This window comes from Homo sapiens, chromosome 8 (assembly GCF_000001405.40).
Source record: "Homo sapiens chromosome 8, GRCh38.p14 Primary Assembly".
In the NCBI taxonomy this organism is placed as follows: Eukaryota; Metazoa; Chordata; class Mammalia; order Primates; family Hominidae; genus Homo; species Homo sapiens.
Genome location: NC_000008.11, coordinates 116,775,316 through 116,793,640, shown reverse-complemented (window position 1 = coordinate 116,793,640; position 18,325 = coordinate 116,775,316). Strand labels below are relative to the sequence as shown.

At 40.2% G+C, this 18,325-nt stretch overlaps 1 long non-coding RNA gene across 2 annotated transcripts in view; it reads right to left on the bottom strand.

Annotated features, from left to right (window-relative positions):
• The window catches only part of LOC112268030 (uncharacterized), a 71,615-nt gene extending 56,948 nt beyond the window's left edge, over window positions 1–14,667 (bottom strand). Inside the window, exons 1-2 of one of the 2 annotated variants that reach the window (XR_002956724.2) lie at window positions 14,055–14,667; window positions 6,992–7,138 (exon numbers count right to left, since the gene is read on the bottom strand). This is a non-coding gene — a long non-coding RNA (uncharacterized LOC112268030). Of the gene's footprint in view, window positions 1–6,346; window positions 7,139–12,932; window positions 13,062–14,054 lie in introns of those variants that run through there. The other variant, XR_007061065.1, reaches the window with a different exon arrangement.
• Between the last annotated feature and the right edge of the window lie 3,658 nt (window positions 14,668–18,325).

Below are 18,325 nucleotides of genomic sequence, written 5' to 3'. Positions count from 1 at the left end.
GTGATCACGCTACTGCACTCCAGCCTGGGTGACAGAGACCCTTTCTCAAAAAAAAAAAAAAGCAAAAGATACAGCCTTCAAGATAGTCTCCCACATGGAACTTTCAGTTAAGAAAAAACTGTAGCTTTTTTTTTTTTTAAAATACATGTCTTGGCCGGGCGTGGTGGCTCACGCCTGTAATCCCAGCACTTTGGGAGGCTGAGGTGGGAGGATCACGCGGTCAGGAAATCTAGACCATCCTGGCTAACACGGTGAAAACCCGTCTCTACTAAAACATACAAAAAATTAGCCAGGCGTGGTGGCATGCGCCTGTAGTCCCAGCTACTCAGGAGACTGAGGCAGGAGAATGGCATGAACCCGGGAGGCAGAGCTTGCAGTGAGCGGATATTTTGACACTGCACTCCAGCCTGGGCGACAGAGCGAGACTCTGTCTCAAAAAAAAAAAATTGAAAAATTAAAAAATTGCATGTCTTTTAAAACTATGTTTCCAGCTACTCTGGGCACACGGCCTATGGGGTAGCTCTGCTCGACAAGGAGCAGGAAAAAAAAGATAAAATACATTTCTATAGAAAAATAATTGTTTAGAAAAAGAAGCAAATGGAACAAAACATGAAAGTCCCATATTAATTCATCTCATTTTCCACTCCATTGTCAACAGTTTGGTGAGCAATTTTTCCTTCTATTTGCTATATACATTTCTATACTTTATATACATATATATACATATATTCACATGCATCTTCTTGTTTTAAACATACATGAGATCATACTATAGTATGTTCTGCCTCTTGTTTATTTACCTTCCTTGGTAAAGCTCTTCCTGTAGTCATACATGTATCTTTTTTTTTTTTTTGAGGCAGAGTCTTCCTCTGTCCCCCAGGCTGGAGTGCAGTGGTGCCATCTCAGCTCACTGCAACCTCCAACTCGCGGGTTCAAGCAATTCTCCCTGCCTCAGCCTCCTGAGTAGCTGGGATTACAGGCGCCCACCACCATGCCCAGCTAATTTTTGTAGTTTTAGTAGAGATGGGGTTTCACCATGTTGGCCAGGCTGGTCTCAAACTCCTGACCTCAGGTATTCCGCCCGCCTTGGCCTCCCAAAGAGCTGAGATTACAAGCATGAGCCACCGCGCCTGGTCAATACGTGTATCTAATCTTTTTAATGGCTATATAGAATTCTATAAAAGACAGATGTGCCCCATTTCATTTAACCACTCCTCTATTGAGGGTATTTAAGCCATTGACTTTCATTTTCCAATTCACATTTCTGTGTTTTAATTTTTCCTATAAATATGTAATACTTTTTATGCCAAAAAAAAAAAAAAAAAAAAGAAAGAGAGAGAAAAGCTTCAAAACAAGCAAAAATACCATCTCTCAAGAGCTGGCAGCGTGGTCTCCCTCACGCATTGGAGGTGCCACTATCTTTGGCCCTCAGGATTTCAGCCATGTCCTCTGTACCTCTTCCTCTGCAGGCAAGTCATTCAGAATTATCGCTTAACACCCCTCAAATTAGACTCTCCAGTTGTAAAGGCCTAGAGCTACATGTGAATTTTGAGAGCACTCAGTCCCTTGTACTCCAACTTGTCATTAGTAAACAAGTTAATAATAATCGCGCCAGTGGATTGTTACGTGAGAAGAAGGCTGAAGTCCAGGGTGGTCCCTAGGAGGGGACTACATATAATCAGTCATTTCCCAAGAAAACTAGAAACCACAGAAAAAAAGTAAGAATCTCCTTTGTTTTTTCTCTCTTCACAGATTTTTAACTTCAGGGTATGCAAGAATCATAGTCACCTGGTGTTTGTTAAAGATACATTTTAGGAAAGAAGTCATTATACAAAAAAATACTTGCACACGCATGTTTATAGCAGCACAATCGCAATTGCAAAAATATAGAACAAGCCCAAAATGCCCATCAACCAACAAGTGGATAAAGAAACTGTAGTGTGTATGTGATGGAATATTACTCAGCCATAAAAAGGAATGAATTAATGGCATTCCCAGAAACCTGGATGGGATTGGAGACTATTATTCTAAGTGAAGTAACTCAGGAATGGAAAACCAAACCTCATATGTTCTCATTCATAAGTGGGAGCTAAGCTATGAGGATGCAAAGGCATAAGAATGATACGACGGACTTTGGGGACTCTGGGGGAAAGGGTGGGAAGGGGGTGAGGGATAAAAGGCTTCAAATTGGGTTGTGTGTACACTGCTTAGGTGATGGGTACACCAAAATCTCACAAATCACCACTAAAGAACATACTCATGTAACGAAATACCACCTGTTCCCCAAAAACCTATGAAAAATAAAGATACATTATAGGTCTCATCTACAAAGGTTTCTATTTTATTGGTTTAAGTGGGGCCCAGGAATCTGCATGTTAAGCAAGCAATGGTCCAAGTAACGCTGAGGCAGGGGTCCATGCACCACTCTGGAGAAACACTGGCCCCCCTGGAACTGCAGAGCTGGCCACAGCAGAGCAGTTCTGCCTACTGTAGTGATGCCCGCACATCACTGGTGGGAAGGAGGAAAAGTAGGTTCAGTTTGGTGGCTCCCACCTGTAATCCCAGCACTTTGGGAGGCCAAGGCAAGAGGATCACTTAAGCCCTGGAGTTGGAGACCAGCCCAAGTGACACAGCGAGATACCATCTCTGAAAAAAAAAAAAAAAAAAGCCAAGCATGGCAGTGTGTGCCTGTAGTCCCAGCTACTGGGGAGACTGAGATAGGAGGATCACTTTGAGACCAGGAGCTCAAGGTTGCAGTGAGCCATGACTGCACCATTGGACTCCAGTATGGGTGACATAGCAAGAGCCTGTCAAAAAAAAAAAAAAAAAAAAAACGAGGAAAAGTGGGGTCCAGCTCTTGCTTTGTTCCCATCCTTGTGACTTCACAAGGGAGTGCCTAAATATATTCAGAAACATAACACTGAAAGACAGTTAATCTTGAGCAAATACAGAATATGCAACCTAGGAAAGAATAAAGACCCTGAAAGCTGTGGCCTAATGCTAGGAAGATCTCAGGGCTGGTTTAATGAAACAGCTGAGACAAGAAATCAGGCTGCTGCACATTGATTGTACCTGTCAAAGCTTTAGTGTTGAGCAACATAAATTTATTTGGCCTATATTTGGTTATGTTACATTTTTTATTCATTCAGTTAGCCAACTCTGCCAACTATATAAGACGACTTCAAAAGGGCTTTTTCTACCAGAATGGACATAATTTAAATAGGACGGTCAGCTTTTAGACAGGCACAACACTATATATACAGATCTCAAGAAAAACTGGTGCTTCCTTATGTCGTTGGTTCATTTAAGAAATATTTATTGAATACCTCTTTGTCTCTGGTGCACATTTTTATAAAATTACCTTGAGCCCTAGATCAAATGTCACCTCCCTGTCAAGCTTTTCCCAAAGCTCTCAGGCAGAATGACTCTTTGAAAACTATATGTAAATAAATGTATTTATTTACCCATCTATAGTTTATCTTGCCTGGTGTCAAAAAAAAAAGAATTTAGACTGATGTTACATATTATACAATCCAGTGATTTTACGGCTGGAAGGAGTTTTATTATACCACTAATCTCTACATAATAAAAGTCACTATTTACCTACCTGCCTCCCCAAGTGGATCACAAACTTCATGAGGGAAGACTGTATCTTATTCATCACTGAATCCCAGCACATGTAGGTGTTCAGGAAATGAATACAGACACACATATATGAGCAAACACCAAGCAAATGTTATCTTTCAAAGTAGTACCTCGGGAAAGAGTGCATTTTTCAATAATGCTGACACTGCATAAAATTCCTTCCAAATTTGAAATTATCTTCAGAACAAGTTTCAAAAGCACACAAGAGAACAAGAAATATTATTTTGACTTGCTGTTTCATTTTTCCCCAAAACACTTTATTCTCCAGAATTGATTATAAATTTATTTAGGCTGTTTCCAAAAGTCAAATTCCTTCTCAAAGGATGGTGAATCGCCAGAGTGAAGGTACAAATCTCACTGTAGATGACATCTAAATATTTTAGTCTCATCCTGTCATAGCGATTCCATCCCTGTCCCTTACCCAGACCCCCCAAATTACTTAGATTTAAAGATTTCAGTTCAAGCCCCAGCTCTGTCACTTGTTATTGGTTTAAATGTGGGCAAACATTTGAGCTGTCTGAGCCTTAGTTTTCTCATCTGTGATACAGAGAAAATAAGAACCAATATATTTTGATCATTGTGCTATTTTTTAATTAATTAATTTTCAACTGAAAATTAAAATTTTTATTAGTAATATTATTTTTCATTGACATATCATAATTACATACAGTTATGGGATACAATGCGATGTTTCAATATATGTACATTTTGTGGAATGATAAATCATGCCAAATAACATATCCATCACCTCACTTACCTATCATTTTTATGGTGATACATTTGAAATTTACTCAGTTATTTTGAAATATAGAATACATTATTATTGACTATAATCAATAGTGCAATAGATCTCAAAACCTATTCCTCCTGTCTGTCGAAATTTTGTATTTTTTCTTTTTTTTTTTTTTTGTTCAAACTTTGTATTTTGTGATCAACATCTCCCAATTTCCTCCTTCTCCACCTCCCTAGCCTCTGGTAATCAGCATTCTAGTTTCTACTTTTGTGAGTTTGACTTTTTTAGATTCCACATATAAGTGAGGTCAGAGGTATTTGTCTTTCTGTACCTGGCTTATTTCGCTTAGCATAATGTCCTCCAGATTTATCCACGTTATCACAAATGACAGAATTTCTCCCTGTTTAGGTGGAATAGTATTCTATTGTTCATATATACCACATTTTCTTCATCCATCTCTGTTGATGAACACAGGTTGATTGTATATTTGGGATTCTGAAGAATGTTGTAATGAACGTGAGAGCACAGATATCCATTCAACATATTGATTTCAGTGATCCACACTCACTGGATTGATCCACGCTCCTACAAACATGCCCATGAAACGTTTTTGACCTTAACAGTTTCTTCTCAATTCTCTTTTAATGTAGCGTAAGAAAACCCTGGAGGAGAGTGCTGAGGATGAGATTTATAGAGGAGGCTAGCGCTCCCTCTAGGGGCCAAAACAAAGTATCCTCCACAATGTAGAACTGGCAGTGAAGGCAAATTTTTCTTTCTTTCTTTTTTTAAAAATAGAGACCGAGTCTTGCTCTGCCACCCAGGCTGGAGTGCAGTGGCACAATCATACTCCCTGCAACCTCAAACTCCTGGGAATAGCTAGGACTAAAGGCACACACCACCATGACTAGCTAATTTTTTAATTTTTTTGGTAGAGATGGTGTCTCACTGTGTTGCCCAGGCTGGTGTCGAACTCTTGGCCTCAAGCAATTCTCCCACTTCAGCCTCCCAAAATGTTGGGATTACAGGTGTGAGCCAATGCACCTGAAAATTTCATTTTTAAGAAAACATTTGTTGATGTTATAAGATATGGCAACATCACCAGAAGGACCTCAGAGTGACAGATGTAACAACACTCCTTTGATCACACTGTCATTCAGCAAACATTAAGCAACTATTACATACCAGGCACTGTGTAAAGTATAGGATACTTGGATGTTGAAGTTGATGTTGCTTTTTTAAAAATCAGTCTTAGGGTGTACAGTGTGTAGTTGCTGTCCTTCTCTACATATTGTACATTAAATTTTAACGGGATGTTAGAATTAAATTGAACCTCAAAAGGCATCTAGTTCTGCCGCCAAGATATTTCTGAAATTCTCCAATTACATAAATCTTTCTAATGATCAAGATCATGACAGAATTTGGGGGGTTTTGTTATTAAATTTTTAAATACATACATGTTTAAAGTTTTTTTGCAATCTACTTTCTAAGGTAGTCTTAAGAGGCCGGGCACGGTGGCTCACACCTGTAATCCCAGCACTTTGGGAGGCCGAGACAGGAGGATCACGAGGTCAGGAGATCGAGACCGTCCTGGCTAACACAGTGAAACTCCATCTCTACTGAAAATACAAAAAAATTAGCCAGGCGTGGTGGCAGGCGCCTGTAGTACCAGCTACTCGGGAGGCTGAGGCAGGAGAATGGCATGAACCCGGGAGGCGGAGCTTGCAGTGAGCCGAGATCGCGCCACTGCACTCTAGCCTGGGTGACAGAGCGAGACTCCACCTCAAAAAAAAAAAAAAAAAAAAAAGGTAGTCGTAGGAGAAAGTGAATTTTCAAATTTTTTAGGATGTAATTCTATAGAAAAAGCAAATGCATTTGTCATAGGATACCTCAATTTATGCCCATTTTCTGTTCATTTTACCTGGAGACCAAAGTCAGATGAAAGAAATAAGAGGGATGAGCAGCAGCAAATGAAGATAAATTATAAAGTTCTTTATTTGGATGTTGGGTATTGTCTGAGTCCATTTGGCTTGCCATTTAAAAATATCATAAACTGGGTGGCTTCCAAACAACAGAAATTTATTTCTCACAGTTCTGGAGGCTGCAAAGTGCAAGATCAAGATGCCCGCAGATTTGGTGTCTGGTGAGGGCTTGCTTCCTAGTTTATAGATGGCGTCTTCTCACTGTGTCCTTGCATGCTAGAAGGGGCAAGGCAGCTCTCTGGGGCCTTTTTTACAAGGGTACTAGTCCCATTCATGAGGGTTCTGCCCTCGTGACCTAATCACTTCCCACTGGTCTCACCTCCTAATACCAGCACAATGATGGTTAGGTTTCAACATGTGAATTTGAAGGGGACACAAACATTCAGACCATAACAGATATTGTCTTCATATGATGATGACAGTAAAAGACCAGTTAAGCATGCTGAGAGCTGACAGTAAGTTTTACCATAGTTTATACAAACTCTGATGAGTATGAAAACATAAAATAATTCAAGTAAAAATTTAATTCACCTCAAATGCCCACATATCAGTAGTGATCATTTGCTTCTTACACGCCAACTTTCACTCCTCCTTCTAATAGTGTTACAGTCTCCCTTGAGGAAACACATCTTACCCATTCTCTGTTGATGTGGTTTAAGTGGAATTAGCTCTACCACCAGAGCAGAGTTGGTCATGTGGTCCAGAGCTAGCCAATCAGAGCATCAATCACATACTGTTGTCCTCCATAATTGGTGCAGAATGTGTACATTCTTGGGATATACTGAGAGAAGAAAGAGAGAAATGAGAAATGAACTCTTTTCTGCATCTTGAAACTACAGCCTCTGGGAGGCTACCAGATGGGAAACATGTACCTGAGGGTAAAACCAGAGCAAAGCAAAGCAGAAATGAAAAATGGATTTGGAGAGTGGTCTGAATGAAATCAAACACCTAGATCCAGCTGAGACTGAAGCTAATGCTATCCCAGGACTTTTAGGTTATTATGTGGCCCAATAATTAATTGGTAAAAGCCAATTTTCTGTCATTTGCAACCATAAGTGTCCTGACTACTGCAATTCCCATTCTTCATCAGCTGTAAGTCTCTGGTTGCTCCTATTTCAGATCCCAGCCACCCTAAACCTAGCCCATTCTGTTTTCAACCTAAACTCAAATTATAACTAAGATAATGGTACATTCCTAAAGCACATAGATTTGTTTATAATAAGAGTAATATCTTTGAAAGTAAATTCAATTAGTAAGCTTTTAATTAGCTGAATAAACTTCACTTCTGCTAACTATGTGTTTTATGGGCAAAACAAATGACAGACTAATCCCACCTGAGATTTAATTTGACTTCTGAGTAAATGGTAGATACAGCATGATAAGATATATAAACTATTAATAGAATGATTGTCACATGTTGTGTGTTGTGGTGTGTGTATGTGTGTGTGTGTGATGAGAGAGAATTTGAAAGTTTGCAATGTAATCAAGATTACCCAAGAATAATTGGATTTGGGCTCAGAACAAGGTCATAAACAGATACCACAAAGACATCAGATTCCTTCTTTGATAATGTGAAAGACATCTAGACACTTTAAAGAGTTTTAGTTCTAGAAATAAGAAAACTAATAGTTGTAAAGATTTTGAAAATAGTCACAGAAGTTGGTTATCACTTTGTCTTTCTTCCTTTTTTCTTTCTTTCTGGTCTTTCTTCAACAAGCATTAATCTGTGTTTGCCACATGCTGGGGACAGCGCTTAGGCAATGGGGATTCAGCAGCGCACAGAACAGCAGAAACTTCTGACCTCCAAAAGCTCACAGGTCATAAATTCAAAAAATAAAAGTATTGTAATGAGATAATTGCATAATTTAATGGAAATATATTCAAAGGACATTGTGGGAGGTAGGAAGGAATGATCAACTCTGCTTTAGGGGATGAGAATTCACAGAAGGCTTTATAAGGGTTGGACTTGAAAGATTTTAGTGGAGATTTTTAGGAAAATCCACTATAAGGAGCTTTGGATCCTGCCACGCACACCCCAATACAACATCAAAGGTTTTCTTTCAACTAGAGATAGCAGATGGGATCAACAGACCACAATTACCTTGGAGTCTCTTAGAATTACCTACCATCACAAGTGCCTTTGAGTTGCGTATTTTAGTGGTTAAGGCCACGGGCTTTAGGTGGTGTCTTCCTTTCACCACTTGCTTGCTGAACAAGTTTGGGCAAGACACTGAAGACAGGTACTCTAAAGGTTGCTATGGTCTTTTCAAAAAGGTAAGTTGTGAGTCTTGAGGGAGGAGAACTTGTAACTCCCACAAGTCCTCTGCTTAAGGGTTTTTTGGTTAAAAAGCTTGCCTGCTTATTCATTTAAGGTACAGAGTTCTATAAATCAGAGTACTTGTCACTTTGCATCCCAAATAAGGTGGATGAAAAGAATAACTGGACATCTCCATGAACTTTTAGTTTCTGTCTAGGAAAGATACTAGCAGTAGTTAGAAGCTTCAACCATCGCCATCTCCAGGGTGCCTTGGAGATCTTGTAATTTAGTGACTGTTCCACTGACTCTAGGTTCAAATCCTGGCTCATCGTTTGCTAACTGAGAGATCTTGGGCAAGTCACTTAATCTTTCTGCTTAATTTCTTCATCTGTAAAATGCGGACCTTTTCCATGGGGTTGTAAGGATTAAGTAAGATAATACACATTATCATAGACCACTGCAAAGCAACATTGTAAACCCTCCAGAAAGGTCAGCCCTTATTGTTATTATAATTTGGTAGAACATCCAGCTGGTTAGCTGAATAGAGGTTTGACTGTGGACTGGAGCACACACCCCACTCCCCCTTCCCTGTACCTGCTCCTATCACAAAAAGCTCTATGTCAGCCCTGGGGCAGGAATGGGTGAACAAACGAAGAATCTCACCTTCTAAGCAGCAGATCTCTCCGCTTCTGATAAGGCATAAAGGGAGAGTGAATCTCTTTATTGCAATTGCAATTTAAAAAAAATGAAAGTATAGCCTAGCCCAGACAGATATGACATCTCTTATTTTGGCAGATTTCAAAATAGAATATTATCTTTTTAGGATGTCTGTCCACCCTGCTCTAACACCAGCCCGTTCCATACACATATACACAGGGTGGAAAACAGACACTTTTCCTCAACACCAGTGGATTTTAAGCTCCACTGAGAGTGGGGACTTTACTCTGCAATATCCATATAACCTATAAGAGCAAGAGGCTCACAGTAGGCTCTCAGTAAACATTTTTCTAATGAATGAACATGACCATGCCCCCCTGACACAGCTGATTAGACCATAAGTAAACAATTTCGGACGCTGGGCCAATCAGATTCCCTCTTGCAAAGATGTGAATTCAGGTTCTGGAGAGAATAGATTCCTGAGCCGTCAGCCCTGGCTTCCTAGAGTGATATAAACTCTGAGGCTAAGGGCGCCACTGGAGGATGGGGAGGCAGCATGAGCAGGCAGAAGAGGGGCAACTGCCCATCTGGGAGGGGAAAATGAAGCAAAAACACAAGGCAAATCAGATGCAGAGACAAGAGCCCTGGGAACCCAAGAGATGGGGCTGGAGAGGGCAGCTGCCTTGGGCCCTGTTTCCAGTTACTGGTCTTCATGAAGCCCAGCTTCTCTCCCCTCCCTGGCATTTTGGGAGATGCTCCAGTAGAGCCTTTCCTTTGTTTATGTCATTTTGAATAGATTTTAGTCTGTACAGTCAAATAATCCCTAGGACATTGGAAATATGACAAGGTGTTCAAAGAAAGATGAAACTCTCTGAAAATGATTCAAAGCTATGAACATTCAGTAACTTTCAACTGAAATATTATAATGACTTTGGCACCCACACATCAAATTTACATAATGAGCTAAGTGTTTACTTAGACTCATCCCCTAAGAGTCGTCTCTGCCTACTTAAAGAGTTCAGAAAGCTTTTATAGATTTTCAAAAAGAGTTTTTCCTCTTCAGTGCCGAAACTGTGTGCTAAAGGTAAATTTGCAAAAAAACAAAGGGGCGGGGGTGGGTCCTGACAAATATGAAATGCAATTTTTAAACTTCCCATTCATTTAAACAATTTAAGCTTTTATTCAGGAAACTGAATAACTGTTTTCTGAATATATATGAATTTCTTATGAGAGCAGTAGCTCTCAGAATTATTTTTGCCATAATCCACATACATTTACAAGAATGTAATTCTCCCCTCCCTTTTTAGTTGTGGAACAAGCAGCTGATTGTGTATGTAGTATGAGTTGAAATATTTTGGAAATGCTGATCTTCACCCCCAAAATGTGCTTTGTCTGCCGCCTTCTCCATTTTGGCTGATGGCAACTTTATCCTTCCAGTTGCTCAAGCCAAAACCCATCATTTTACCTCTTTTCTTTCCATTCTGTGGTGGGTTGAATCATGTTCCTTAAAGAGATTTGTTGAAGTTCTAACTGCCAGTACCTAGGAATGTGACATTATTTGAAAGTAGGGGCCGGGCGCAGTGGCTCAAGCCTGTAATCCCAGCACTTCGGGAGGCCAAGGCGGGTGCATCACCTGAGGTCAGGAGTTCGAGACCAGCCTGGCTAAAATGGTGAAACCCCGTTTCTACTAAAAATACAAAATTAGCCGGTCATGGTGGTGGGTGCCTGTAATCCCAGCTACTAGGGAGGCTGAGGAAGGAGAATCACTGAATCCAGGAGGTGGAGGTTGCTGTGAGCCGGGATGGTGCCACTGCACTCCAGCCTGGGGCAACAAAGTGAGACTCCATCTCAAAAAAAAAAAAAAAAAAAGAAAAGAAAGTAGGGTCGTTTCAGATGTAACTAAAGTTGGGAATGAGGTCACACTGGAGTAGGATGGGCCTGTAACCCAATATGACTGATGTCCTTATAAGAAGAGGAAAAGAAACTAAAAGGAAACTAAAAAGAAAATAAAAAACAACAAAATCCTTCTAGTAGGAGATAGCTAAAATAAATAAATAAATAAATATTTAAAGGAAAAAAAAGAGGAAAAGAGATGCAGAGACATAGACACAGGTGAGGACAGCGCCCTGTGACTGCAGACGTGGAGGTGGCAGTGCTGCAGCAGGAGGCCTTCCTTAAGGCTAAGGATTGCCAGCAACTGCCAGAAGCAAGGAAGGGGCAGAGAAGGATTGATTCTGCCCTGCAGGTTTCAGAGGGAACCTGGCTCTGCCAACACCTCGATTTCAGACTTCCAGCCTCCAGAACTGTGAGACAATACATCCCTTTTTTTGTTTTTTTGTTTGTTTTTGAGATGGAGTCTCAGTCTGTGGCCCAGGCTAGAGTGCAGTGGTGTGATCTCGGCTCACTTCAACCTCTGCCTCCCCGGTTCAGTGATTCTCCTGCCTCAGCCTCCCTAGTAGCTGGGATTACAGGCACCCACCACCACTCCCAGCTAATTTTGTATTTTTAGTAGAGACAGGGTTTCACCATTTTAGTCAGTCTGGTCTTGAACTCCTGACCTCAGGTGATCTACCCACCAAAAGTTTTAATGGCTGCATAGTAATCCACTTTAACCTGGAAACTATTTATTGACCATGTATCAGGTGACAGACACTATAATTATTTACACCCCTATCAACCCTAGTTTACCTATTAGAAAACTGAAAAGGAGAGGCCCAAGTTGATTATTTGAACCTGAAATTACCTGACTCTCAAACTCAAGTTCTTTCCTACACCAGAGATTCTCAACCAACCTGCACATTAGAAACACCTGGAGGACATTTACATTACACAAATGGCTGGACCCATCTCAGACTAAAGGGATCTAATTCTCTCAGGTTGGAGTTGGATATCTATTAGTTTTATTACTGTTCCCCATGATCCTGGTGCACAGTAAGAGCTGAGAATCGTTGTCTCACAGCATTCTGCTTCTCACACTGATTGTACATATACCTATTTCTGACTTCCTTTTTCTTTTTCAGATTTCTTTTTTTCAGAAGGTCCTGGGTATGTTTAGCCAGAGCATGGTAGGGACCAGATGCATAATGATAGGCCATTATTTCCAGAAAGGTTACAGTACTTCGTCATTGCAGTGAGAAATAATGGAGGATGGTTAGGTGTCTTCCAGGAAGCCAGTACAGAGTAGATGTCAGTACAAAGGATAATGACCCAGTAGGGAGGACACCGAGTCAGACACTGGTCAGATGATGGCTCTCTTATCATCAGCTTTTTTTGGTTGACGGAGAGAGAAATGAAAGAGTATGTCTCTGTCCTCTTGAAATTAGCAATGATCTCTGGGAAACAGCTTTAGGATTGCTAGAAGGTGAGGGGCAGCAGGCAGTCTTGCACTATTAATTACACTTGTTCTAAAAAATAATAGGTGTTTTATGTGCAACAGTGTGTACACACCCACACACATATTCAGAATACTCCCAATCAAAATAATCCATTAAAATAGAGTGATGAGGGCTGGGTGTGGTGGCTCACGCCTGTAATCCCAGCACTTTGGGAGGCCAAGGAGAGTGGATAGCTTGAGCTTAGGAGTTTGAGACCAGCCTGGGCAACATCCAAAACCCCGTCTCTATAAACACTACAAAAACTCGCTGGGTGTGGTGGCACCCACCTGTAGTCCCATAGTCCCAGCTACTCTGGAGGCTGAGGTGGGAGGATCACTTGAGCCTGGGAGGCTGAGGTTGCAGTGAGCTGAGATGGTGCCCCTGCACTCCAGCCTGGGTGACACAGTGAAACCCTGACTCAAAAAAAAAAAAAAAAAAAAAAAAAAAAAAATATATATATATATATAGTGATGAGAAAAGCAGTAAATAATTTTTAGAAGTAAGTTAGTAATATTTCAGTTAAGATACATATTTATAAAAAAAATACATATTTGCCAACAATAGATTTCTAACTATTTCTTCCTTTTGACCACAATGTAAGATTCTTTTCTCTAACTGCTGATTATTTCCAAATGTACAAGCATTCCAGGCATAAAGCTTTGAGCAATACCTGTGCTGTATTGACAAGAAAAGTTACATAGCTCCTGTTTTGTCATACATAAAAGAAAGAGTGAGAACATGTCTGTGATACTGACAGTCATGAATCAGGAAGGCTGGAGACCCTATGAAACAGGTGATAATAATATACTTTATTTACTTCAATTCAATTTGTTCATTTATTCATTTACTCATTTATTCAACATTTATTAAGCACTTAGGTGCCAGAAATGACATCAAGCACTACTGGAAAACAAGAGTGGAATAAAATAATGTCTTTGAACTTTAACCAAAGAAAATCCTAGTTACAGTTCTAAGTGTCAAAATGTACGGTTTCAGGGAATGATGATGAGAGAGAAAAACCCAGAGCTGTCGAAATCAGGGCTGCTGCCTACCTGACTAGCTACCTGGCTTTACCACCATTCTCAGGGGCCTCGGATGGGGAGAGCACATGCTAATAGCAAACATGGGTATTCTAAACTTCAATGACATTCCTTTCATGCCCTGCTCTTTCTGAATGCAGAAAACTAAGTAAGTCCCAGTATGAATGCTATTACTTCCGATAGCTAAACTGCACCATGTTCATGTTGCTCAGCACATAAAAGATTTGTTTGCTAATTCAATTTTGGAGATCAAAATATTTCATCACATAGGGATTATCATTTTCATATAAAGTTAAACAAAATATCATTGTAAAATAGTTGGGCAAAATGATGAGCATCTGGAAGATTTATCTTTTCAGCATTTAGTACCTGTGGGTAACCTGTGACACTTTGGCAGCTGAAGAGAACAGATGGCATCTTTCTGACTGCATGAGGTGGTGGACAGTGAGCATTAGTAAGCTAGCAGAGATCCACTTGAGATTAATTCATAGGAGAAAAAGAAATAAAATATTAGCACCCAAATAGCTTGTCAGTAAATTTTGTTTTTTTCCCCCTTTAAGGAAACTGGAAACAATTGGATATATTTGCTTTTCTTCTTTACCTACCACTAAATACACCTAAAGTGCAGAGGTATAATTTGTTCAATCCACTTGGTTTCTTGACTAATTCATGAATAAGAAGGTATTGTATGCTTACTGTGTGTACAACACTTTTTAAACAGCTTTATTGATAAATAATTTACCTAATACACAAATTCACCCATTTAAAGTATACCAATTCAATGGCTGCTAATATATTCACGTTGTTGGGCATCGATCATAACATTTGACTTTAGAATTTTTTCACTACCCTCCCAGAAAATCCCTATACCCCCCTCTTCATCACCATCTCCTCTAGCCCAAGGAATCCACTAATCTACTTTCTGTCTTATGTATTTACCTATTCTGGAATTTCATATAAATGGAATCATACTATATATGATCCTTCATGACTGGTTTCTTTCAGCATATTTTCAAGGTTCATTCATCTTGTAATGTGTAGCATTTCCTTTTCTGCTAAATAATATTCCATTGTACCACCTTTTGTTTATCCACTCATCAGTTGATGGACATTTGAGTTGTTTCCATTTTGGAGTATCATCAATAATGCTGCTGTGAATTTTCATGTACATGTATCTGTTTTAATTTTTCTTGGGTATATGTCTACAGGTAAAATTGCTGGATAATATGGTAATTCTATGTTTAACTACTTGAAAAACTGCCAGACTGTTTTCCAAACCAGTTGTACCGTTTTACATTCCCACCAGCAATATATGAGGATTTCAATGTCTCCATATCCTCTCTAGCAGTTATTTTCTGTTTGATTATAACCATCCTACTAGGTATGAAATGGCATTTCATAGTGGTTTTATTTGCATTTCCCTGATGGCTAGTGATGTTGAAAATCTTTTCCTCTGCTTATTAGCCATTTGTATATTCCTTTGGAGAAACGTTTATTCATATCCTATGCCCATTTTTTAATTGGGTTGTTTTTAAACTTTTATGTTGATATAATATTGGGTGTTTTAAATTATTGACTTGTAGTTACTCTATATTCTAGATACAAGTGTTTTGTTTTTGTTTTTTTGAGACGAAGTTTCACTCTTGTTGCCCAGGCTGGAGTGCAATGGCGTGATCTCGGCTCTCTGCAACCTCTGCCTCCCAGGTTCAAGCGATTCTTCTGCCCCAGCCTCCCAAGTAGCTGGGATTACAGGCAAGCATTAACACGCCCGGGTAATTTTTTTGTATTTTTAGCAGAGACAGGGTTTCTCCATGTGGTCAGGCTGATCTCGAACTCCTGACCTCAGGTGATCCACCTACCTCGGCCTTCCAACATGCTGGGATTACAGGCGTGAGCCACCATGCCTGGCCAAGTTTTTTAATCAAATATGTTAGCTGCAAAAATTTTCTTCCATTCTGGAGGTTGTCTTTTCAACTTCCCAAGTTTAAAGATAAACTTAGTGCTTAGATATGATTTTTTTCTGATACCTCCTTTCCTGTCTTGGTAATAGGACCTTATATTTTTGCTTTAGTAGACTATGCCTTATTCAATCTCAGTCTATCTAATTTAGGTAGAGGTGATCTCTTCCTCTAGCTCCAGAATGGACACAAGAAGCAAGGCTGGCCAAGCAAAATTATTGTAGTCCATCAGGGTCTAGTTAAGAGAAAAAACACAGCAGTAATGTAAACAGAGAACATTTAATATAAACAATATTAATTAGGTATAAAGTTATTAACCAGATAATTAAATAGCTAAAAAGTGAACTCAGGATTCTGGAGGTAGTAACTGGAGGAAGCAGTTTCTGTCCCTAAGTCAAGGGGGACAAAAGGAAAGGGTTAGAATTCTTAAAATTTAAAAGCTTGAAAAAGGATCCCTATGGAGCTGAAACCTCTGAGAAGCTAGGCTTTAATCCACAGGTGCTGATGTCTCTCAGCTTAGAGGCAGGGCCAAGTACCCAGACAAATCTCAGAAGAGTGGGCTCCAGCCAGCTAGTGCTGGTATCTGGTTCTCTGATGGGAGGGAGGTGGGTTGAAGCAATATAGCAGGTTCTGCAAATGTTGCAAACTTGATCTGAAGCCTACTTGGATGAGAAATTGCTGCTGCTAGAAGGGAAGAAATGATATTCACAAAAGCTAAAAGCAGTAAGCTCACAGGAAGCAACAGGAGGAATTCAGTCTTTTCCTCCCCCACTAACCTTCCAGATCCTGCCTCTAGAGCCCATTATTGGCAGAACCCAACAAAAAGTACCTGTCACTGGAAAATTGCACGTTGCAGAGTTCCAGCTCCAGCATCACAATGTAGAATATAGAAAGGTGAGCTTGGAACTGGCCCAACCCACCCCTTTGCCTACACTGCATCCATATGCACCCTTCTATACATATATTTAAACTTTCTATACATATATTTATATTTTTCTATACATATATTTAAACTTTCATACAACAATGAACAATCTGTTTCCTTCTTTTTTTTTAGGAGATGGGGACTCATTCTGTTGCCCAGGTTGGAGTGTAGTGGTGTCATCATAGCTCACTGTAGCCTCCAACTCCTGGTTTCAAGAGAACCTCCTGCCTCAGCCTCCTGACTAGCTAGGACTACAGGTGCATGCTACAGTGCCTGGCTAATTAAAAAAAAAATGTAGAGACAGGGTTTTTGCCATGTTACCCAGGCTGGTCTCAAACTCCTGGCCTCAAGTGATCTTCCTGCCTCAGCCTCCCAAAGTGCTAGGATTACAGGAGAGAGCCACTGCACCTGGCCCTCCCTCTTTCACCTAAGATGGTGCAACTATTTTTCATACAAATAAATCATTGTAGTGGGCCAATGTGATGTTGTGTAGAATGTCAAGATAATCGAGATCTCTTCAGACTATATTATGGCTGAGAGCCTATGAGCCAACATATGCATGATGCAAGACTGTGAAGGTGTACTATTAACCTTGTCAAGAAAAAACAAAGTTCTTTTCATTTATTTATTTATGTAATTTTTTGAGACAGAGTCTCACTCTTGTCACCCAGGCTGGAGTGAAATGGCATGATCTCAGCTCACTGCAACCTCTGCCTCCTGGGTTCAAGCGATTCTCCTGCCTCAGCCTCCTCAGTAGCTGGGATTACAGGTTCCCACCACCACGCCAAGCTAACTTTTGTATTTTTAGTAGAGACCGGGTTTCCCTATGTTGGCCAGGCTCGTCTTGAACTCCTGACCTCATGATCCACCCGCCTCAGCCTCCCAAAGTGCTGGGATTACAGGCGTGAGCTACTGCAGTCAGCCAAAAAACAAAGTTCTTTTAGTGGTCCTAGCACATTGATAAAGAGCAGGGTATGGGGAAGGGGCCAGGTGGGGTGGGGGTGGGGGGGGCGGTGCACATTTTTGTATCAGGTGTGAAGAGCTGTATTCATTGTTCCAGTGAAGACATTACATCTGAAAAAACTGCTGGAAATAAATCTTGCCTGATTAACATTAAAATAATCCACAGTCATTGGTTTTAAGATCATCTACCTTCTGCAGAGGCCCAATAGATGCATTAAATGGAGATGTAATAGGAATAAACACTTCTACCTCATTCTATCATTTGATGATAGTAGTGTTAATAATCTCTGCAATTCCCCCAGTGATGTCCTATCTTTTGGTTTATTATACAGCAGAAAAGAGAAATTCCAACAGCTTCTACTTGACCCTTCCTATCCTAACGACCCTTAGCCCATAAATGAGAGCCAATATGGGGACATGACCAGTTACCAAGTATGTCTTTAACGACTGTACTTTCTGAACTGGGAATAAACAGGATGGGCTCAAGTACCTACTGAGCTCACTGGACTCAAATTTGACCTAAAACTCAATTTTTCTGTCACTTCACCACCATAAACTCCTACTCTAAATGGTGGTCCAGTAGCATTTTGAGACCCTAGCAACTAGCATCAATTCAGAACCAGAAATATTCCCAAAGGTCTGAGTATTTCTATTCCCCAATTCACAGTCCCTCTAGAAAGTGGCCACAGGTCCCTTTGGGAAAGGGGACTTGAAGCACTGCTACAAGTATATACTGTAATTTTTATATACTGGATTCTTTCTCAAGAGAACCCAGCGTCCCCTTAAATTAAGGA